This window comes from Homo sapiens, chromosome 11 (assembly GCF_000001405.40).
Source record: "Homo sapiens chromosome 11, GRCh38.p14 Primary Assembly".
Taxonomy (NCBI): Eukaryota; Metazoa; Chordata; class Mammalia; order Primates; family Hominidae; genus Homo; species Homo sapiens.
In genome coordinates this window covers 1,919,051-1,941,231 of record NC_000011.10, presented here as the reverse complement: position 1 = coordinate 1,941,231, position 22,181 = coordinate 1,919,051, and the positions used below count along the sequence as shown (strand labels likewise).

Sequence of the window (22,181 nt, the reverse complement as noted above, 5' to 3'; positions counted from 1 at the left end):
CAGAGTGAAATCCGTCTCAACAAAAAAAAAATCATATGTTGAAGCCTTAGTCGCTAATACTTCAGAATGTGACTGTTTTTGCAGATGGAGTCTTTAAAGACATAATTAAATTAAAATGGAGTCATATGGGTGGGTCTTAATCCAATAGGACTGGTGTCCTTATAACAAGAGGAGATGAGGACACAGACACGCACAGAGGGATAGCCCCGTTGGGGACACAGGGAGATGGTGGCATCTGCAAGCCCCGGAGAGAGGCCTCAGGAGGAACCAGCTCCACAGCACCTTGATCTCGGACTCCAACCTCCAGGACTGTGAGAGAATAAATGTCTGTCATTTAAGCTGCCCAGACTTGGTGCTTTCTTATGGCAGCCTGAACAAATTACTTAGGGTGGGAATGTTTTCCTGACGTGTTTTTCCAAGTGTCTTTAATGTATGAATGACATGACTCCTTCTCTGTCATACTTGATTCAAAATATTTTCCCAGTTTTGTCATTTGCCTTATACTTTTTAAAACCACCTTCGTTGAGGGTGTCATTGACACGCAGCCATTGCCATGTTTAAACTGCACGATTCCATCCATCTTAATCTACATAGACAGCCATGAAGCCAGCCCCATCAGGAGACAAACACCCTCATTGCCCCAAAATTGTCCTCGTGCCCTGTGTGGCTCCCCATCCCACCCTGGACCTCCCAGTCCCAAGCAACCAATGCCCTGGTTGGTTTCTGCTTGTGTGTGTGTGTGTGTGTGTGTGTGTGTGAGAGAGAGAGAGACAGCGTCTCACTCTGGTTTCTACGTGTGTGTGTGTCTGTGTGTTTGAGACAGGGTCTCTCTCTGGTTTCTGCGTGTGTGTGTGTGTGTGTGTGTGTGTGTTTGAGACAGGGTCTCACTCTGGTTAGTTTCTGCGTGTGTGTGTGTGTGTGTGTGTTTGAGACAGGGTGTCACTCTGTTTCCCAGGCTGGAATGTGGGCACGCCGGCGTGTGTGTGTGTGTGTGTGTGAGACATGGTCTCTGGTTTCTGCTTGTGTGTGTGTGTGTGTGTGTGTGTGTGTGTGTGTGTTTGAGACAGTGTCTCACTCTGGTTAGTTTCTGCTTGTGCGTGTGTGTTTGAGACAGGGTCTCACTCTGTTTCCCAGGCTGGAGTGTGGGAGTGTGTGTGTGTGTGTGTGTGTGTGTGAGACAGGGTCTCTGGTTTCTGCTTTTGTGTGTGTGTGTTTGAGACAGTGTCTCACTCTGGTTAGTTTCTGCATGTGTGTGTGTTTGAGACAGGGCCTCACTCTGTTTCCCAGGCTGGAGTGTGGGAGTGTGTGTGTGTGTGAGAGAGAGACAGGGCCTCACTCTGTTTCCCAGGCTGGAGTGTGGGAGTGTGTGTGTGTGTGTGTGTGTGTGTGTGTGTGTATGTGTTGTGGGGTCACACACCTCAGATGATGTTTCTTTGTGTGTGTTGTGGGGTCACACACCTGGGATGTTTCTGTGTGTGTGTGTGTTGTGGGGGGTGATGTTTCTGTGTGTGCATGTGTTGGGGGGGATATTATTTGTATGTGTGTGTGTGCGGGGTGATGTTTCTGTGTGTGTGTGTTGTGGGGGGTGATGTTATGTGTGTGTGTGTTGCAGGGTCTGCACATGTGTGTGATGCTATCTGGAGGTTCTGTTTTGTCCTCTGGGTCCTGGCCTTGTCCCCAACCCCATCGCAGACTGAGGGGGCCGTGCTGCTCCCCCCCATCCCCCGCTCCTTGGCCCCCATCCCCGGCAGCAGAACTCCCGGATGTGGCCGCCCGCCCGCCCCTGAGTCTTTCTGGGGGCCGTTCTGGACTCCAAACCTTCCTCTGTGAATATTTTGCTGTACAAGTCTCTGCGTCTTGATCCAATTTCTATGATTTATACTTTCCATAATTTTCTCTGGTCAGGATTTTCAGATTTACGACCCGCGTGCGCTCTGCTGTCCTGCGTTCCGGAGAAGGCTGTCTGTGTCTTCCCTGCCTGCTGTCTGCTGGGAGTGCACTCTCCTGCACTGTTTTTCCCCGACCAGGGCCTGGGGTGCACCCCTCACGCAGGAGCCGCTCCCGCCTGCCTCTGCCTTTCTGGGGGGTGGCAAAGTCTCTTTCGCAGCCCTGCCCTCCTCCCTCACCCCCTCCCGAGGCAAAGTTTCTCTGCCCCCAGTGGATTGACAGCTGGCGCAGATGGCCAGGGTCTGGGGCTGGGGGTGAGGCCTGCAGATCACCCCCTTCTGCACAAAGACCCTATGGGAGTGGAGAGTGGAGGGGCCCTATAGGCTTGCGCGGGGATGGAGCCCACGTTTTAGAGGGAAAAGCTGTGGGCAGCGTCTGATGGGCATCCAGGCACCGCCCTGGCCGTAGCAGCAGGTGGCACGTGCTGGCCAGTGCCCTCCTGAGCTGGCCCTGCGCGTACTGGCCAGTGCCCTCCTGAGCTGGCCCCGCGGATGACCAGGACGCTGTGCCATTGGCTAGCCCCTACCTGCCTCCTCTCGTGTCCTCCGGGGCCCCCATGCAGAAGCAAGTACAGACTGTGAAGGGGGTTCTGCAGCTTTATTCACAGGCCCCAGGGGATGAAGGCAGCAAGGACACAGACGCGGGGGACGCCCCGGGATGGCCTCTCCACCCCCAGGACTGTCAGGGAGCCCCTGACAGGATTGTGGGGGCTGGAGGATGTGGAGTCCCACGAGCGGCCCTGGTGTGCAAGAGGGCGGAGGGTCTCTGCCTCGAGGGGCCTTTCTGGCCTCTCTACTTCCAGCGCCCGCCGACTTTGCCCTTGGCTGGGGTCCCAGCCTTCTTGCTGCTGCAAATGGGAAGCAAGTGATCCTTCAGGGTCAGGGCCTCTGGCCATGCCCCTCCTGGTCCCCCACCCTGGGCGGACTCTCAGCCCGACCCCAGGCTGCTCTCAGGGCACAGGCCCGGCCCAAGCTTGCGGCCCACACCCAGCTTCAGTCCGGGCAGTGCCCACTCACCTGTGCCTGGCGGGCCTAGGTCGTTAGTGTGGTTAGGGGGCTGGCACGTGAGCCCGGGGCACCCTCCCTCTGTCCTCCTTTCTTTGCCTGAGGTACCACTGCAGACAGACCCCTGAGCTGGGGAAGACTGTCTTAGCAGATAATGATATAATCCTAGACGCTTGGCCTTGAAAGAGCTCATGCCCCTCCAGACGGTGGCCTCTGAGGGGCCCAGGAGCCTGCCCCATTTGTCTGAGGTCTTCATGTGGCCACGAGCCGGGAGGAGCTGGGTGCGGGTGAGGGGTGAAGGCGGGTGGAGGACAGGAGTGCTTCGGCCCGCGAGGCCGGCCCCATTCAGACGCGGCTGCTCAGCAGGACACCTGGCTGGCAAAGGCCGTGCCCTCACACACGTTCCTGGGCACTCTCGGCACATGCACACATGCACACACGCAGGCACATGCACACCACGCCGACTGCCCACCCTCAGAGGGGTCTGCAATGACCCCTGACGGCACAACAGGGAGGCCGTGAGGTCACGTGCACCACGGAGGAGCCCGCCCTGGGCGCCGCAGGGAAGCCAAGGCGACAGGAGGAGGGAGAAGAATCCCAGAAAACATCGAAACTCCAAGTAGCCCCCAAACACTGCGATCCTTGGGGAAATGGCACTGGCTGTGCAGCTGGGCTCCATGACAGGATCCCCAGCGTGGCATCGCCGGGGGCACCCTGGGTGCAGCCCCATGCAGGTGGTCGAGTAGCTGTGTCAAGGGATCCCACAGCCCCCAGGGACACGATTTTATGGATGAGGTTTCACCATCCTGAGGAGTCCATGATTTTGCCCAGCGTCACAGAGGGGCTGGTGATGAAGCCCTGACTGCTTAATTCCCTGTCCTAGGTCCCCTTGGAGGGTGGGACACTGGCGGGATACCCTGGGGCCCAGGTTGGCCACACCAAAGGCCCCCCGAGTAGCCCCTTCTAGGGGTCCCCTGGCTGCCCTCTCCCTGCAGCCAGTGCCAGACTCGGGGCGAGGGCGTGACAGGCAAGCCCCATTGGGATCCCTCCTCCTGACTCTGCCACCCCCCAGGGCTCCCCTGCGTGCAGGAGAGGGAGGAGGCTCCGGGTCCCTGGCCACAGGCCTGCGCATGCTGGCCTGGGTGGCCTGGCCGGGTTAGTCTCGTTACTGCCCTGCCGAGGCCAGCCACCACCGGCCCTTGTTAGGGACTGGCTACAGCGGCTGGCCCCAAGGGCCCCTGTGCCCAGTGCGGAGCGAGGACGGCAGGGCTACTCACTGCTTCTGGGCCTGGTCAATGCGGCTCCTGAGCGTGGTGATCTGTGAACAACATGAGTGACTCACTGCGACGACCCGAGGGCCAGGCCTGCGTGTACTGGGTGAAGGCCTGTCTCCACCGCAGGGTGGGCTGGGCTGCGCGACCCAGGGCTGCTGGGCCCCCATGAGGGCTCCTCGGCTCCCTTACTGTCTCCTGGCTCCTTGTGCAGGGGGACACCGTCCCGTGGCCCCTGGGCTCATGCCTGGACTTACTCTCGCCAGCCTGTACTGGCCTGGACTGCCACACACAGCAGCCCGTAGCTGGCCACTTACCTTCAGCCTGCGGCAGGATGTGGGGCGGGGGGTACGGAGCACGGATGGGGCTGGGGAGGGGTTGCAGGTGAGGCCTGCGGACCCCTCCTTCTCAGCTCCAGCTCCCTTCAGCCGCTGAGCTCAGAGCTCCGAACGGCCCTGCTGCTCCTGGGCCAGCCGCTCCCGCCCTCGTGCCTGTGCCCAGGGGCACTCTGTGGCCGCTGCTGGCTTGAGGCGGAGCTCCTGGGAAGGTGGGGGCCCTTCCTCGCTTGCCAACAGGGCAGCGGCCACTGGGAAGCCCCCGGCTGCAGGCACGAGGGGAGAGCGGGGGCAGGAGGAAGGCTCCAGGCCCCCTGCCGCCAGCATCCTGAGCGATCCAGGTTTTTGCCATGCGAGAGGTTCACCTCACCGTGCAACGCACACCCACGGGCCTGGCCCAGGGCGGACCCGGCTACTTACAACTTGGCCAGCATCTGCACTCTGGCCCGGACATTCATGATCTAGAAAGACCAAGATGGTTACAAGGCTGGATGGGCGGCTGGGGCATCGAGGCCCGGCTGTGGGCTAGCTTGGCCTGGTGATGGCCCTCCAGGCTCTGGAGCCCCTGGGGGCCCGCTGTGGCCGCATCTATCCAAAGCCAGTGGGTCCCTGATTCAGCTCTGGGAACACAGCATGGGAAGGACCTGGGTCCTGTGCCGTGAAGCCCGTCTCAGGGCCAGCCCCTCTGGGAGAGCCCCAAGGGTGAGGTCAGGGCTGTCCCTCATGCCTGGACCCCCTGGGGACAGCTCTGGGAGGGAGTGTAATCGCCCTGCCTCTGTCGGAGGGGAGCTCGTGGAAGCTCAGGTGGAACAGGTGGCCTGCCCAGAACCCCCGAGAAGGAGCTCGGATTTGCCCGGCTGGCTTGGACTGGTCGCCCCACACCTGCTGCACCTGGGTAGAGCACAAGCCCCGTGGGCACAGCCGCCCTCCCCTGGGGCCTCTGGCGGTGCTGGAGGGTGGACATCGTGGCCCTGATGGTGATGCTGGAGTGTCTGCATTTGCCCCGAGCACGTGGATCACCCATGGCTGCGCCCCTCACCCCTCGCCCCTGGAGCCCAAACGGGTGTTTGGGAGGGTGGGAAGCAGCTTGGCTTCCACCCTAGCTCCCACATTGTACCCCAGTCCCTGAGGCCGCCCGGGCAGGCTGCCTTCCCCAGTCCCAGCTTTGCCTGCGGTGATAGTGCCTGCATGGGATGGTGGCTCTGCTCCGTCCCAGACGGGCACAGTCCCAGGCCCCTTTTCCCAGCCACAGGGTGCAGTGTGTCACCCCTCTCTGTCTGCCCTGAGGAAGCAGGTGTCCGGGGCCCTGGTGGAAGCCAGAGTCTGGGTTTGTGGAGGAGGCTCTGTCGAAAGGACGCCCCACACCAGACGGACTCGGTGCCCCGGGGCCGAGCTGGGTGATGATGGGGACTTTCTATAAGCTTAAAGGGGTTCCGAAAATGAACCCTGAGTCCACTTGGCCATGGCTGCTCTGCCACGACAGTCCTTTTGGCAGGGGTAACCAAGGCCGCCCAAAGGGGCCAGGTTCATCGCTCAGGGCGCTGCATGGCCAGCCAGGAGGACGGGCTCTGGCCACAGTCCCCAGCAGGAAAGCAGCCTCAGCCAGGGGTCCGTGGCAACAGCCTGTTTGGGCCTCTCAGGGTCCAGGTCCCTGGGGTGGGCAGGTCCAGAGTTTGGTAGGGACGCAGGGAGATGGCTGCTCTGCTGGTGGGTGAAAGCCGCTAGGGCCCCAGGGCCGGAGGTGCCGGGACTCACGTCATATTTCTGGCGTTTCAGCTTCTCCCCAAACTCGAACTTGTCAATCTCCAGCTGGTGCAGGGTCTCCCAGAGCTCCTTGGCCTTGTCCCTGGGGCAGAGGAAGTGGTGAGGCTTCGTTGAATAAGCCCCAAAGGCAGGGCCAGGCCCCTGGAGTCCTCCTGCAGCCACTGGGGAGCACGGTCCTTGGCAGCCTGAGGAGCAGTCGGCAGCTCCTGCAGGGGCCACCCCGTGGGGCTGAGCCCCACAACACCCACCCCTCACCTCAGTTTGTCTTCACCAAGGTGATCGATGTTGAGCGGCTTGCGTCTCTCAGCCAGAATCTTCTTCTTCATTTCCCGGGCTGTCTGCTTCTTGCCTCTCTTCTGGTCAGCCTGCAGCGGACAGGCCCAAAGAGAGGGGCCTGGTCTCAGGAGGGCACAGGGCGTAGCCCACACTGAAGGCTACCACCGTGCTCCCAGCAGCGGCACACACCTTGGCCAGGTAGCTGCTGTAGTTGGCTCCCATGGAAGACAGAGCTTTCTTCTTCTTCAGGTCGTCCTCTGCCCTCCTCTTGGCATCCTCCTCCTCCCTTCTGGCCTTTTCCTCCTGTGGAGACCCCATTCCCAAGATGCTCAGGGATGGAGAGAGGGCTATGCTTTCTGGGCAGGCTTTAGGGACCCACCCTGGGCTTAGAGCTGTCTGGAAGGGCCCACCCTGGGCTTAGAACTATCTGGAAGGAAGCTCCAGGTCTTGGCCAGGATTTGTTTTCTGGCAAGGGGTTCTGCAGGGCGCCGGGGCCTTAGCCAGTGGTTCTGATCATTGGCCAATGACAATGGGAACCCCGGGAGAAGGAAGGCCTCAGCCCCCTGCATTTCTCTGGGCCTGGGGCTCATTCTCTGATGAGGCAGCAGTGCGGATGGTGCCCTCACCGCCAGTCTGTTCTGGCGCTCCCTCTCCTTCTCTGCACGAATCCTCTGCTGCTCCGCTCTCTCTGCACGGCGCTTCTCCTGCAGCCAGAGAAGGGGGTCTGCTCAGCCCTGTCCCCGGCTCCTCCGAGGGAGTCCACCAGCCCCTGCTGCAACCTGAACTGCCCCACTCACGATTCTCTCTTTGAGAGCGACCAGCTCCTCCTCCTCCTTCTTCCGGGCTTCAAAGTGGCTGTCGATGAGGGCCTGGAGCTCCATTAGGTCTTTGTTCTGACGCTTCTTCTGGATGTCCTGTGGGCAGGGGCAGTGGGTGTGAGCCCCACCCCTCTCTCCAACCTCTGCCCTGCCTGGCCTGCCTTGCAGCAAGAGGTCCCTTCCTTTGCCCCAGCAGAGAAGCCCTGACTCCCTTGGCCACCATGAAAATGGCAAGTGGCAAGGAATGTTTTGCCTTCTCCACATTGCCATGGCTGCTATCCTCATAGGGGCCGAGGGTGGCCTGATTCCTGAGCCACACAGCAGGGATGGTGCCCAGCCATAAGGTCCTCAGCATCCTTAGGATGGACTGGCCCTGACTTGGCTCTGTCATCATCCTCAGAGATGCCCTGCATGGGCCTGGCAGAGAGAAGACTGCAGAGTGAGAGAAATTGTTGGATACATAGGTAGGCATGTGAACAGATGAGCTGATGGATGGGTGGATGAGTGAGAGAGGATGGAGACAGATGACTGGGTGGATAGATGGATGATTGGAGAAATGGATGGATGGATGAATGGATGGATAGGTAGATGGGTGGAGGAATGATTATGTGGATTAATGGTAGAGGATGCGTGGATGGTGGGTGAGTGGGTGGGTGGGTGGATGGGAGGATGAATGGGTGAATGGGTGGGTGGGTGGGAGGGTGGATGAGTGGATGGTTATGTGAGTGAGTGGATGATAGATGGATCGATGGATGGATGAGTAGATGAATGAGTGGTATGAATGGATGGATGGATGGGTGGATGGGTGGGTGAGCGAGTAGGTGAGTGGAGAGATGAGTGAGTGGATAGGTAGGTGAGTGTATGAATGGGTGGTTGGGTGGGTGGATGGATGGATGAATGGGTGAGTGGATACGTGGCTGGTTGGATGGATGGAAGTAAGGCAGGATGGATGGATGGATGGATGGATGGATGGGTAGGTGGGTGGTTGGGTGGATGAATGGATGGATAGATGGTTGAGTGGATGGGTGTGTGGGTGGGTGTATGAATGGATAGGTGAATGGGTAGGAGCTTACGTGGGTGGGTGGATGGATGGATAGAAGGATAGATGGAGGAGAAGGGAAGAGAGATGCTTATTCTTAGAGGGGTTTCCTCTGGCCCAGGAATAAGCTATGGTAGAATTGCCCAGACCCAGGAGGCCCCGGCTCTGGCTACTTGGGAGGAAGTGACCTTCTGAGGCCTAGAGCCCAAAAGCTGGGGTGTGGGGAAACCGTGGACATGTTAACCAGAGTCCTGTAAACTTACATCGAAGTCCACTTTCTCCCCTTCTGGGATCTTAGGAGCAGTGAGTCTGAAGAGGAGACAGAGAGGCCCGTGAGCAGAGACCCGGAGACCCACCCCAGAGGGTCAGCCTGGCGCTTTCCCCGCTGGCCCCTGCCAACCCTGGTGCCCTCCTGCTCTGGCCCCCAGCCAAGCATGCCCGCCTAGTGACACGTTTGCCCCAGCTTTATTCTTATGAGGTTTGTAGCCCACCATCCTGAGAGTGGCTTGAGCCCCTCAAGAAGGCTTCCGCTTCCAGCGCCACCGTCTGCCTTTTGGCTTCTGGCCATTGCAATGTCACTGCACCCCAGCTACCAGGGAGGGCACCTCTGTTTCCTCCTCAAACAGATAAACAAATGCAGCCATGTCGGGTGAGAAGCGATGGCCACTGTGGGTGGCGGTGGCCTCCCTGGGCAGGAATGGCTGCTGCGAGCCTGTGCCTTTCCCCAGCCCCTCTTTCATCTTTCTCTCTGGGGGCCCAAAGGAAGGAGGAGAGGGGGCTGGGAAGAAAGCAATCTGAAGGGGAAATGAGGCCCCCTCTCCGGCTGGGTGTGCAGTCCCCTCCTCTCACCAATACATTCCAGATGCAGCAAAGAGTTAAAACAACAACAATTTTTTCCAACAAACCATAGAAGAAAGTGGAACTAAATATCAATCAGAAACTGGAGCAGGAAAGGGTTTCCTAAGCTCAGGAGCACCAGAAGGTGCCTCTAAGGGAAAGAAGGCCAGATGACACCACGCAAATGAAAAACGTATGTATGTGAAAAAAAAAAAAAAAACGGAAAATGGAAAGGCAAAAAAAAAAGACTAAAAAAAATTTTCAGCAAATACAGAGAAGACTTATATCCTTATGCAAACTGATGACTAAGAAAACACAGAGATTCCTCCACCAGGAGACAAATGAGCAATGGCCGTAGCTACGAGTTCTCAGAGAAGAGACGACCCATCCCAAACTCAGGGAAACGCTGGCCCCGAGTGACTGTTAGGGCGCAAAGCCAAAGAATCATGAGGTGCCGTTTCTCATCCATCAGAGGCTGCAATGTAAAAGCACGTTCCTGTCCCTGGGTGAGGAGGGTGTGGGACACAGACCCGCTCACATCCCACGTAGGAGACGGCGTTGGCCAGGCCCTTGTGGAAAGCAATTTGGCAGTGGATGTCAAAGCCTTAAGAACATTCATACTCTTTGACCCAGTAATTCCAGTTCTGGGAATGTGGCCTACGGAAATAACCCTAAAGATGGAAAACGCTTTCCAACCAGCGTTATTTATGATAGTAAAATATTGGGGAAAGCCTGCAATAGGGGAATGGTTAGGAAAATTATGGTTTGTCCAATTGATGGAATATTATGTGGCCATTCAAAATATTTAAGAAGACTGTGTAAAAACATGGAAAAATACTTATGAATAGTGCTAAATTTTAAAAAAAGCAGAATTCAAGGCCGTAGAGACGGTATGATGTTTGAAAAACAAGGCCGACTTTAAATCTTTTTTTTCCAAGCGCTATGCATGGAAAAAAGGAAGAAATAAGGCTTTTTATTTCTTTCTGCTCTTTTCCACAGTCTGGCTGGCTGGGTGGGAGAATTATAGATGACGTTTTTTCTTCATTTGACTTTTATATATTTTCCAAATTTTCTTTCATGAGGTGTCTTATTTTCATAATGAAAACACAAACAATTTTTCTAAAATGAGAAAATATCTCATGATCCAGCATTACTGTACTTAAAATCACTGAAAAATACAGTGCAAAGGGTGGGAATACGCCGGCTGTACCCTTCAGATGTTCTCACTCTTCTGAGAATCTGCAATGCTCCCCAAGTGGGAGCCAACAGTGAGTGTGTGTCAAGATGCTCTAAGATTCCACTTCGCACAGAGCAACACACAGGCAAGAGCACTCGAGAGATAAAAGGGTGAATCACGTAGCGAGTGCTGTGGCTGGTGAATACCGATCAAAAGCAGAAAAGTCAGAAGAGCTGCATTAAAAAAACCAACCCACGAAGTGCTCACAAGCAGGTGCGATGAGGACAAGCTCCTCTGAATTCTGCCCCAAAGGGGAGCAGGGGCCCCTGCACAGTGAGCTCTTCTGGACACGGTCAAGGTGTCATTCTGAAGTGGGTTTCTGGGCTGAGTCCCCCACCTTTCTCCACTTCCGGACTCACTTTCCTGTCGCTTTTCAATCTAGGACTCTGGGAGTCCTAGAAGTATGGCGGGGCTTGGTGTGGTCCCCCGAAGGCCGTGGGGTGTTGCGGTGGCCAGACTCCCTGCACCAGCTGCCCCGCCTTCCTTCCTCAACTCTCTCCCACCCACCTCTCCTCCCTCCTTCCTCGTCTGCAGCCTCCTCCTACAGGAAGCCCTCCTTGTCTGCACTGGATGACCCTGGGCAAAATCACACCCTGCTGGGCCTCCCAAGCCCATCTCCCAGGTGACCCTCATCCCTCCCACCCTGCGCTCTGAGCGTCCCTCCGAATGCAGGCTCCAGGCATCTGGCCCTGGCCCTCTCCTCCGCCTCCACCACGGAACACACGAGGCGCTGGGCCTGCCAGGACCCCACACTCACTTGGCCACCGCCACCCCAGAACACACTCGGCACTGGGCCTGCCAGGACCCCACACTCACTTGACCACCCCCACCCCAGAACACACTCAGCAGCGGGCCTGCCAGGACCCCACACTCACTTGGGTCTCGGTTTCTCCTCTGGTCCACACAGCACCAGCGTAGGGAGAGGGACACCAGCGTGGGGAGAGGGAGAGAGACAGCCTGGGTGAGACTGGGCGGCCTGCGGCCCTGGGTTCCCCTTCACTGAAGGCCACCGTCCTTTTCAGCTGGGAGTACCCCCAACCCCCAGAAACAAGAGGGTCCTGTTTCTGCTCTAGGCCTGCAAAAGCCCCTGGCAGGGTTGGAGGGGAAGAGCTCAGGGCCTGGGGCCAGGAGGAAGGGTGAGGAAGAGGTAGGGAAGAAATAGGAGCGAGACAGGCCGCGTCCTTGAAGGCTGGGAAGGGAGGAGACGGAGCAAAGAGGACAGGGGCTCGGGAAGAAGATTGGGAGGAAAGGGGCTTGGGAGAAAGGGGAGGGGGGCGTGCCCGGCCCGGGCTCTGGCACTGCTGGCTGGTCCCGCTTACTCCCCCTCCGCTGTGTGGCAGAAACTTGGAGCGGTGGCACCCGCGAGGCCCTGGCAGCTCGACCCCAGCGGCACCGTGCGGAGCAGCAAGGCCTGGCCCTCCGAGGCCCCCGTGCCAGGGGAAGAGAAAGAGGACAGAGGGAGGAGGAGGCAGGGCAGCGAGAGACCCCAGCCTGTCCTCTTTCCCTCGCGTCGGCTAGAGCCAGGGTCCTGCACCTCCGGCGGCAGGGACGGGCCCTTACCTTCCGCGTCCTCCTCTGCGGTGTCTTCCAGGTGGCAAAAGGCACAAGCACACATGCAAGAGAAAAGCCAGTGCGGCTGCGGGGGAGCAGTGGGCAAGGGGCCTGTGGCGGGCAAGGGGCCCACCCCTCTCACTCGGACACTCTCTTCTCCAGGGTGTGCCTGCGGGGCCCTACAAGTGCCCCAAGCTGGGGCCGGTGAATCAATGCCTGGGGAGGGGGTGGAAGGGGCTGGGTGCCCAGTGGAGCTCCTGCCTGGAAGACCTAGTGGAGAATAGGAGGGACACGGGGACCTCGCGGGGCAAGGTGGGGGGCTAAGGGCACTGGGTCTCATCTGTCCCCCCGGTCTGTCCTCTTGGGTCTGGCAGGGCCAACCTTGGCATCTGAGACCCTCTCCACCAAGAGGGCGTTGCAGCCGGGGTGGGTGCAGCCCCTTTGCTTCGTGCTTCCCGGAGCCTGACCCCTGCCTGTAAAGGCTGTGTTACTGGGTGGAACCCAGCAGTTCATGGAATGACTACAGCCCTCAGGCCTCAGGAGCCTCTGCCGGCAACGTGATGTCTAACTCCTTGCTGGTCTCAGCCCCAGGAGCCCCCGCCTGAGTCCGGAATGTCCACCACAGCCCCCACCCACAGGCCAGGAGCCCAGGCGCACTCATCCCTGACCTCCCTGGGGCTTGCCCTCTGACTGCCACATGGCTGCTGTCCTGAGACTGGGCCCCTCTGGGACCCCCCTGCTACCTCTCCCTGGCCACCTCTGGGGTCTGCCTGGCCTGCCCTGGCCACCCTAATAAGGGGTGGCTTCCTTTAGGATACACTCTGCTCCTAGACCCTGGGGTGGACCTGGCTGGCCTGGCCCAGCTGGGGCCCAGGAGGGGGGTCTGCCGCTGGCCTAGTGGCACCCGCCCATCCTGTCCCTTCAGTCCCTGCTCTGGGCCTTAGGTGGCAGCAAGGCCGTTGACACACGATGCCCTCGGCCCTCCAAGTCTGACCCAGCGCTGTCCCCTGCACTTGGCTAAGGCCAGCAGGCCTGGGCCCGGGGGTGGGGGTCCTGCCTTGCCAGTGCCTGGCCTGGGGTGCACTGGTCCTTGAGTCCTCCTCGCTGGCAGATACCTCGGTTGCCTGGGAGCCCCCTGCACACCACAGAGAGCCCGCCAGCGCTCTTGGTTTTGCAGGTGGGCCTGAGGTCACCCGTTCCGGATGCCTTGGGGCACATGTGCACCGGGAGTGAGCGGTGGGGCATCCTGAGCGTTCCAGCCAAGGGCCCGGAAGGAACAGCGCGGTGAGGACGATGAATGGGCTGCCCGCCCTGGCCTCCCTGACTTAGTGGTTTTGCTGGACGCAGTGCGTGGCTGAGGAGCCCCTCCGGGTGGGAAGGCCGGCCAGGGAGGAGGGCGAGGTCGGGTGGGAGGCTGAGCAATTTCGGGGAGCGAGCACACAGCCAAGCGGCAAAAGCTGTCCTGCGGCCCTGCCTCCTCTGCTCCTGCCCCACCCTGCCCTGCTGTCCGTCTGTCCGCTGGCCTCAGTGCTGGTTCCAGAGCGGCCCAGCAACCCTGTCATCCCCACAGGCTATCTCCTGGACACCTCCCTGCATGGCTGGAGTCCCATCCCCCTCCCAGCATGTCCCTTCTTGTCCAGGGGCCTCTCCGAGGCTCGAGTCACGCAAGAGCTCAGGCCCGGCAGGGAGGAGCCCCTCAGCCCCACGGCCCATGAACGGGGGGAGCTGAGAAGCACTCCCCAGCTGGGGCCCCTGACTTGAATGTGCAGCTCTCTGACCTCCACCCAGTACAGCCGGCCCCACTACCAGGGAGGGCAGGCCCACCCAGGGGGCCTCCTCACTCCGGGTGTGTCTGGCTCAGGCCCAGGCAATGGGTGGGATGCTGGGACCTGACTGGGCCTTTGCACGCATGGCCCCTGGCTGTTCCGGGTCCCCAGCGTCCCCACCTTGGGCCTCAGCCTGCTTTTCTGCTTCACTCCACTTGCCCCTCCACCCTCCCTTCCACCTCACCCCTCCCTACCTTCCCGCTTCTGGCTTGCTAACTGGGGCAGGGTGGAGGCCTCTCCTGCGCTCTTCCCACCCCACCCTGGTGGATCCAGAGGGTCCCAGTGGACCCCAGCACCGTCCTCCCAAGGCCTGCTCTGCCTCGGCCTCAAGGCTGGCCACCCCCACCTCCCACCTTCCTGTTGGCAGCCCAGGAAGGGCCTCATTGTCCCCAGGCTATGGAATCAATCCTCTCTGCCTGGGAGACACAGAGGAAGCCTGCACTGTACCGGCCAGCCCTTCCCAAGCCAGGGTCCTCACTCTGTCCCCAGCCCAGAGGCCAGAACGGGTTCAGTTGTTGGTGGCAAACGTCACAAGGGGTGGGCAAGAGGGAGGAAGCAAGAGAGGACAGAAGGGAGGACGGAGACTCTGGCCTGGAGGCGGGGGAGCGCCGGCGTACCTTCTTGAACTTCCTCTGCAGAAGCAGCGTCATGGTGGCAGAAAGGGCGGGAGAGAGAGAGGACCAGTGTGAGTGGTGGCAGCGCAGAGAGGAGGGCGGGCAGGGCCGAGGCGGCGGAGCGAGCAGGCCAGGCTGTGCAGGGTTACGCGGCCCCTCTTGTTCCTTCTTGGGTCCTGCACCCCCCACATGGCCACACGTGCCCATGTGGCATCGAAGTCATGCACGTACCTGGTTCATGAACTTCACGGGCCAAGGAGGCCACGGAACAAGAGGCAAAACCGCGGGTCAGAGGTCAATGGAGAAGCGTCCGAGGTTAATGGAAAAGCCCGTCGCCACTCGAGGCCGAGGGTGGGGTGCGTGCGGGGAGCGAGCAAGACACGGTCAGAGTTAGCCCAGGCGCGGCCACCGCCCCAGTCCCATGTCCCCAAACCCTGCTCTCAGCATCTGGGAGCACCCCAGGTGGGGAAACTGAGGCTCAGAGGATGGCCGGGAGCTGTGGCTCTTGTCCTTGGTGGAGCAGGCTCAGTACTGGGGCTGGGCCTTCCTTTGCTCGCCCCCATCCCCTGTCTGTCCTGGGGCGCCCCCAGAAGGGTGTCCGCGCCTCTGGCCGGGGCACCAAGGCCCACGTGCGAGGTTGTAGCCTGGCCGGGTGGCACCAAGGGCCCACAAAGGCAGTGCTGGTAGCCCTGGGAGGCAGAGCCATGGATGGGCCATGGAAGGCGTCCCCAGGACCCCCACTTCCTGCCATCCCAACGCTGGGGGCCCACTCGTTCTTTCCCTGATGGAATTCTTTCCACCCTCCAAGGGTGCTGGCAGCCCTGGGCACCAGTGATGGCTCTGCCTGCTGATCTGGGCATGGGACCCCAGCCCTCCCATCTGCTCCCAGCCTGTGTGCACCTCAAGGGTCTCATAGCAGAAGGCTGTGAGGGGGCCTGGGGGGCTGACGAGGGCATGCTCACGAGGGAGCTGACTGTGCCAGGCTGCAGGGTTCTGCCCCCAGCCGCCTTCTCTCCCCTCACTCTGTGCCATCCCAAGATGTGGCGGGCGTCCTGGCCAGGCCCAGGGGTCGACGCCACCACGGGCTCTGGACTGCCTACCCTGGGGTGGAGGACTAGGGTGGGCCTACGTGTCCCCTCTGCCCCATGCTTGGGGACACCCTGCTGACCAGCAGCCCAGCCTGCACCTGCCTGGGGAGTCCCTGGCCCTACTGCCTGGGGGGCTGTGGGGAAGGGGGCCCACCCTCGAGACCCCATTCTCTCTCTGGTCAAGCATTGGCCGCGGTTAGTGGGTTACATTAGGGCCACATGTGGGGGCCCCTTGGCTGGCTGGTACCTCGTGGCTTCCCCACCCTCTCCCCCTCTCCCCCACCCCCACATGGGCTCCAGCCAGGCCCCGGGCCCCACATGGGGACAAGAAGTCCTGTGTCCTCATACCTTCCTCATGGACTTCTGCAGCTGAGGAGAGCCGGGGGAGAGAGGAGAGGGTTAGACAGGGGCACACAGCAATCCTTAGAGGCGGGGTGGAGGTCAACTTTGGGTGGGGCGGGAAGGCTGGGGAGTGGGCATGGGGGCCGGGGCCTTGGACCCCACTTACCTTCCTCCTGGGCTTCCTCTGAGAGCCGGAGAAGCCAGGAGCAGGAGAAGGCGGGGTTGAGGGAGACAGGGAACAGAGACAGTGATCAGAGTGTACTCAGGCCGCAAGGACAGGAGGCCGGCTGGCCGGGAGAAGAGGGCCTGGGGCTCGCTTGGCAGGGGTGAAAGATGGGGCTCAGTCCTGCATCTCTGGCCAGCCCCGGGGAGCACGGACTCCCACCAGCAGAGCTGGTCACTGTCAGCTGGGCTGGGCCCGGCCCCTGAGAGGGGTTCTGAGGCCCCTCCCACCCTCCTGGGGGCCTGGTATTCCCATGCCTGGAGGCGCCTGTGCACGGGGGCCCTTGTTAAGTCCTGCTCTGCAGGTGACACAAGTGAGAACGGGGACAGAACCCACAGGGCCTGCGGGAAGCCCCGGCTCTGAGTGCACCCGGAAACAAGGCTGGCACTGAGGGGTCTTCAGAGACATGTCGCACGAAGACCCTTCCGTGGCCTCCCGGCCTGCCACGTGGCTGCCCCAAGAGAAAAGATGGCTCCCCAGTGCCATATTTCCCTCGCAGAAATGAGTCTTTCCACCTTTTCGGCAGAAAAATAAATGTTTTGCTCACGTTGTTAGGGTAGCCAAGTGTTTTCAAAATATTTTCAAAACATAGCACTCAGGACTCCTCACAGGACAGCCCTGCCTGCTAAGGTTGCGTGAACGCGCTCCCCAGTTGAGTGGGTGCCAGGGATTCCAGGGCAGCGCCGTCGGCCTGAGAACCGCCACCCCACACGGTTCCCAGGTGCGCCCACACCCGCCCACGCCTGCCCGGGCACGATGGAGACGCCCACAGACCACACCTGGCCAGCACAGGGAGGGGGCTCCAGGCTCCACCCAGGGTTACAGCACAGGGTTGGGGGGTGGCATGGAGGGATGGAGACACAGAGAGACAGAGATGGAGATGGAGGTGGAGAAATGGGGACAGAGAGGCCAAGAAAGACAGAGACTGAGAGAGAGAGGCAGGGAGAGACAGAGACCAAGAGGCTGAAAGATACAGAGACAGAGAGAAGCTGAGAGATACACAGGCACACAGAGAGACAAAGTTGCCAAGAGAGACACGGAAAGGAACTGGAGAGAGATGGAGAGACTCTGAGATGCCGGGAGGGTAGAGATAGAGAGAGAGGCAGAGAGACAGCAGCACTGGGCACGCAGGGCACTCGGTGTTTTGAGGCCTTCATGACCAGCCCCAGTGAACTCCACACACCATGGCACACGGAGGATGAAGGATTAATGAAGGATCGTGAATGCATATTAATCGATTAAAGAGACAGGGGTTAGTGATGATTTAATGACTCATCCATCATTAATTAAGTGGTGGCCTCATTTATCATTAATTAATGATGAATGGTGATTGTTAGTGACTAATGATGAGGAAGATGGAAGGTTGATTGACAAGCTCAAGGCGGCCTGGAGCAGCCTGGGGAGGGGGTTCTGTGAGCGCCACACGGGAGAGGGGGGTTAAGTTCCAAGGAGGGGCTGGGGGGGCTTCCGGTGGTTGCCAGAATTACCTTCTTCTTCGTACTGCTCTGCATTGGGACAGAACAAAGAGGGGAACCACGTTAGAAGGGGCAGCCCGTGAAGGGAGGAGGAGGATGAGAGGCCAGTGTGTCCCGGCCCTGGACAGGCCAGCGACTGCCCCTGCCCAAGAGCGTGGAATCAGGGGTCCTCGGGCCCTGAGGAGGCGCTGGGGAAGGCAGAGGCTCTGGTGATGATGGTGGCTTTTGGGGGGCTCGGGGGTCCTGGATGCCCACGTCCCACAGTGGGCATGAGAGAAGCAGAGAGACAGGACCCAGAGCCTGACCTGCAGGCCCCTCAGGACCATGTGGCCACACTTCGGGGAAAAGACGAGGCCCCCCACTTGGACAGCTGTTTTCCGGGGGTCACTCAGAAGCCACCCATGGGATGCAGCTGATGTAGGGCTGTCAAGGGGACACAGGGTATGCACAGTCCAGCCCCCTGCCCACATGTGAGCCTTCCTTCTAGAGCAGGAAGTAGAAAGAAAATGGCTGTTACACTTACCCTCCACCTGTTCACTGTGGGGCAGGGAGAGAGAGAGAAAGAAAGAGAGAGAGGTAGTGAGGCTGGGCTTTGCTTGGACTTGTGCAAGATAGCGCATGCTCCAGCCCCACAGAAGCCAAGGGGCCAGGGTCCCGAGCCAGGCAGGGGGCAGCCACCAGCTGGGTACTCACACTTCCTCGTCAGACATGGTGAAGGTGGGTGGTTTCTGCAGAGAGAGATTCAGAGAGAGAGAGAGAGAGAGGATGGAAAGAGAGTTACGAGCTGCCTGGGTGTAGGATGGGGGATGGGGTCTTGGAGCAGCGCTGTGGGGGACCGCGGGCAGGGTTTGGGGGCCAGCTCTGGCCTTGGGTGAGTCCACCTCCTTGGGCCTCCCCTTTCTCCAGGGCTCCTGGCCCCTCCCAGCTCTTGGCGCCCCAGACTCTGTCCCCTCTTCCTGCCCTGGCTCCAGACTGGAGCTTGGAATCTTGGAGCTGGAAGGGATGTTGGAAGGTCGTGGCGTCCACCCCCACCCAGGGCAGACATCCTCTCCGTGGCGTCCCCTGAGGAGGGTCATCCAGAATGCAGGCCGTGTGCCGTCCAGCCCGCTCTAGACACTGGAAAGGTCCCGCTGATGGAGCTGAAACCTGTCTCTGGGTGTTCTCTGCCCAGTGGGTGTAGGTGGGGTCTCCCTGGGAGCCCCTGGATGACCGAGACTGGCTCCCCAAGATGAGTAATCTGCTCACCCTACCATTCCCCATGAGAACCCCTCTTCCCTATTTGAGCCCAAAGCTCCCTTCTGTGCCTGTTTTCCTATGGGGTGCCCAGAGTGTGTCCCACCACACCCCTCTGAGGACCCCTCCTCCAAGATCACAGAGCAGGGAAGCTGTTCCTTCTTGTTACCCCTGTACCCTGAAAACATTGAGGCTGAGCCCCAGAGCACGTTGGGTTGGGTCTGGGCCGCTTCCCGTGCACCCCCCCGGGCCGGGCTCTGTACAAGGCATACTTGGACTGCAGGAGCCCACAGAACAGCCCCCCCATTTCCCTCCCTGTGGCCGCTTTCCCTGGTCCCGGGGATGCTCTGGATCTGTCCCTGTCTAGGGGAAGCTCCATGCCCAGGACTGGCTGCCCTGTCCATGTGCGGTGGTGGCGCCAGGCCAGCATGCTGGGGACCGTCTCTCTGTGAGCTGGCCACCGTGCACACTGGGCGGCCAGGCCTGGGGAGGCTCTGAGCAGCTGCACCGGCATGTTGGCCAGGGTTTTAGAAAACAAAGTTCATTACAACACAGTACAGATTACTCGAAGACAATAGCTACGGTCCCCCCTGGGAGTGTTGTATAAGGAAAACACACGTTCATCAGCTAAAAATGCATCTACGTTGCACTGCTGAGGTGGGAACCGTTTTCCAAACCCTCTGTCAAGAATGTTAATTTTCCCAGAGCAACTTAAGCTCCATGCAAAATTACCCAGCAGATAGCTGTCTTCCAGGCAACGGGGGTAGCTTTTTCCTATCCCAGAATCTCTTCCTGAGACTCTGCTGCCCCTCAGGTTAAGCCTCTTGTAACTGCCACGGCTGGGCCAGGCTCTCCTCAGTCCTCAGCCCCACGAGCCAGTGTTGTCCAGGCCCCCGGTGTGACCCAGTCCCAGGCTGCCCACCAGCCCCTCGTGCTGTCCTCCCAGCTGGTTCAGGCCCCAAACGCCACAGACTCCTCTAGGGCCATCCTCTGTAAGGAGGAGGAGGGTCAGTGAAGGGAGGGAGCGGAGCCTGGCCCCGCCCTGCTGTGCCCAGCCCGACGCTGGCGGGGCAGACACCTGTCGGCTGCCACAAGATGGGGGCAGCGTGGCCCTCGCCTGGGGTGGGTTATTTATAAGGAGCCAGTGGCAGCTGAGGTGTCCAGAAATAGGCAAGACGTTTCTGCCCAGAAACCCAAGACGTGGGTGAGGCGGGTGTGACAGCCCAGCCCTCCTTGGCCCACAGCTGCCCCCTCACCCTCGGGCACCCAGGCCCTCCCCAGCTCCTCATATTTCCCTCCTGTCCCCCCAGGCCAGAGTCACATGGGTGCCCCAACACCCTCAGGCAGGGTGACCTCCAGGCCCCCCGACGTGCGCTGGAAAGGCCCACTCTCCAAGTGGGGAAACTGAGGCACCTGGTTTTCTGCTGAGCGCCTGGAAGCAACACAAGGCTGTTCTGTTCCCCCCAGTATGGCCTGTGTCATTGCCTCTGTTGCGGGGAGGGGCTGGTGGCAGGGGTGTGCTGGGGGCAGGGGTGTGCTGGGGGCAGGGGATGGCATTTCAACAGCTGAGACGCAAAGCAGGTGTCCAGTTAGTGCCTGCCTTGGAGGGGCTGCGTGAAAATAACCTATGCGGTCAGTTTCTTCGGGCACGTATGCATCACCTTTCCCTCCTTGGGAGGTGACGGGGCCAGGGCAGGGTGGGGAGGCAAAAGCCGCTGCCCCTTGCTTGCTGTGGCCCTGACCATGCCCCCAGACCTGTTCTCCACCCAGCCAACCTTTGCTTTGCCCCATGTCCCTCCGTGGACTTCAGGAGGGGCAGCCAAGGCCTGATCAGACGGCACAAGTCAGGGGGACCGTGTCCAGGGCAGGGAGGGTGGGTGGGGGCTCTTACGAGCGCCAGCTTCTCCAGCCTCCAGCCAGGGGGACGCGATGAAGCCCAGCCCCTCACTCTTGCCCCGTCCTGCCCCAGTCCAGCCCCTGTCCACTTCTGTCCTGCACCTCCAGACGCTGGCCCCCAAGGCTGCGTGGGCTTTAGACGCCCCCACCCCAACACACTCGGGCTGGCCATACAGGAGCCCCTGCCCTCCTGTCCTCGTTTTCATCTCTACAAAATGGCGGTGTTGGAGGCCCAGGTGCGAGAGCTGCATGGCAAGGCCAGGACGGGCCTGGGCAAATGTCTGCATGGCGACCACAAGCTGGCAACCTAAGCCCTGGCAGCACCCCTGCACAGCCTCTTCCCTGCCGCTCACAGCCCGCACCTCTCTGCCTCCTGCCCTCAGGCCACTCCCTAGCACTGAGCTTCCCTGAGCCCCGACTTGCCCCCTCCTGGCCTCCCACACTCTGCCTTCTTCTGCATCCTCCCGGTGCTGAGACCATCACACCACCATGTCCGCATCCCAGACTCTCCGGACGCTGGAGCAGCCACCTGGGGGCTCCGAGCCATGATGCTTCGAGATGCTCGGCACCACACGGACCTGGGACCTCAGCGCCCCAGGACCCCAGAGTGTCCCTGGAACGAGGGGCTGTCCACCCGCACGCAGGAGGCCCCGTCGGCCCCAGTCCTGGGTGGCCGCTCCTGCCTATACCCACCTGCGGGTCGAGTGTGAGAAGGGCTGGAGCTCCCTGTGGACAGCACCGGCTGCAGGCACTGGCGCCCGGCTCACACCCTCGTGTTATAGTGACATTTGATCTTCCTAGGAGCCCATTGGCCAGTGACTGGGTGGCCGGGGTGTGTGCGGAGTCTTGCTGGGGGGGGCTATGCCCGTGCAGGCCCCTTACCAAGTATAGGAATGGCCAGAGGAGGAGGCTGAAGGAGGCCAGGATGCAGAGGACGTGCTTGGAGAAGGAGGCAAGGTCCTCCCTCCGCCTCCAGGAGGTGTCAGCTGCTATTTTTACTCCCAGCAGCGGGTACATTCTGGATGGGCTGAGGAGGGAGGAGGAAGGTGTTGGGTGGCCCCGGGGCACCAAGCCGAGGCTCTCTTTGGGCCAAACTAGTGTGGGGGTCCCCAGAGCCAGGCTGCCGGGTTTCCCACCCCCCCGCCCCTTCTCTCTGAGATGTTCTGTGGGAGTAAACATTTGTCCAGGAAAAGGGTCCGCACAGCCGGGGTCCCCTCCCGCCGCCCGGCCCAATGCCCCAGGCCCTTCGCTGTCTCCCCCGGGGAGGAAGCAGCCTGAGGCCTCGGAGACCCCCCATGGAACTGAGGCCAGGCCCCCACCCTATCTGAGACCCTCTTAGAGGCCAGCTCTGCTTTCCTGGCTAGACACCGTTGGGGCCTACACAATAAGCGGGCGAGGGACATGG

The 22,181-nt window shown here is 60.4% G+C and overlaps 1 protein-coding gene across 40 annotated transcripts, besides 2 other annotated features; it reads right to left on the bottom strand.

The window, feature by feature from the left end:
• Positions 1–2,529: 2,529 nt before the first annotated feature.
• Positions 2,530–21,680, bottom strand: TNNT3 (troponin T3, fast skeletal type). 40 transcript variants are annotated; one of them, XM_017018206.2, is made up of 18 exons: positions 21,659–21,680; positions 18,341–18,375; positions 18,171–18,184; positions 17,660–17,677; positions 16,116–16,133; positions 15,956–15,976; positions 14,751–14,762; positions 14,523–14,537; positions 12,089–12,112; positions 11,404–11,422; positions 8,718–8,763; positions 7,395–7,511; positions 7,224–7,301; positions 6,787–6,900; positions 6,577–6,686; positions 6,313–6,403; positions 4,229–4,269; positions 2,530–2,794 (listed from the first exon to the last, which is right to left on the bottom strand). In XM_017018206.2, exons 2-18 carry the CDS (start codon positions 18,355–18,357, stop codon positions 2,740–2,742), a joined length of 810 nt encoding a protein of 269 aa, XP_016873695.1. In that variant the 5' UTR covers positions 18,358–18,375; positions 21,659–21,680; the 3' UTR covers positions 2,530–2,739. The 40 variants fall into 40 exon arrangements, with proteins under 40 accessions (XP_016873695.1, NP_001354775.1, XP_011518645.1 ...); NM_001367846.1 differs by lacking the exon at positions 21,659–21,680 and adding an exon at positions 21,470–21,529; XM_011520343.3 differs by lacking the exon at positions 21,659–21,680 and adding an exon at positions 19,613–19,870.
• Positions 4,877–5,474: an enhancer, noted in NCBI's record as "H3K27ac-H3K4me1 hESC enhancer chr11:1956988-1957585 (GRCh37/hg19 assembly coordinates)". NCBI's record gives its function as "activates a minimal SCP1, AML or CMV promoter by ChIP-STARR-seq in primed H9 embryonic stem cells {active_cell/tissue: H9 hESC(primed)}" and the evidence as "EXISTENCE:reporter gene assay evidence [ECO:0000049][PMID:30033119]".
• Positions 5,928–6,116: a silencer, noted in NCBI's record as "fragment chr11:1956346-1956534 (GRCh37/hg19 assembly coordinates)". NCBI's record gives its function as "represses an EF-1alpha promoter that drives an FKBP-Casp9 reporter gene in an ReSE screen in HepG2 liver carcinoma cells {active_cell/tissue: HepG2}" and the evidence as "EXISTENCE:reporter gene assay evidence [ECO:0000049][PMID:32094911]".
• Positions 21,681–22,181: the final 501 nt, after the last annotated feature.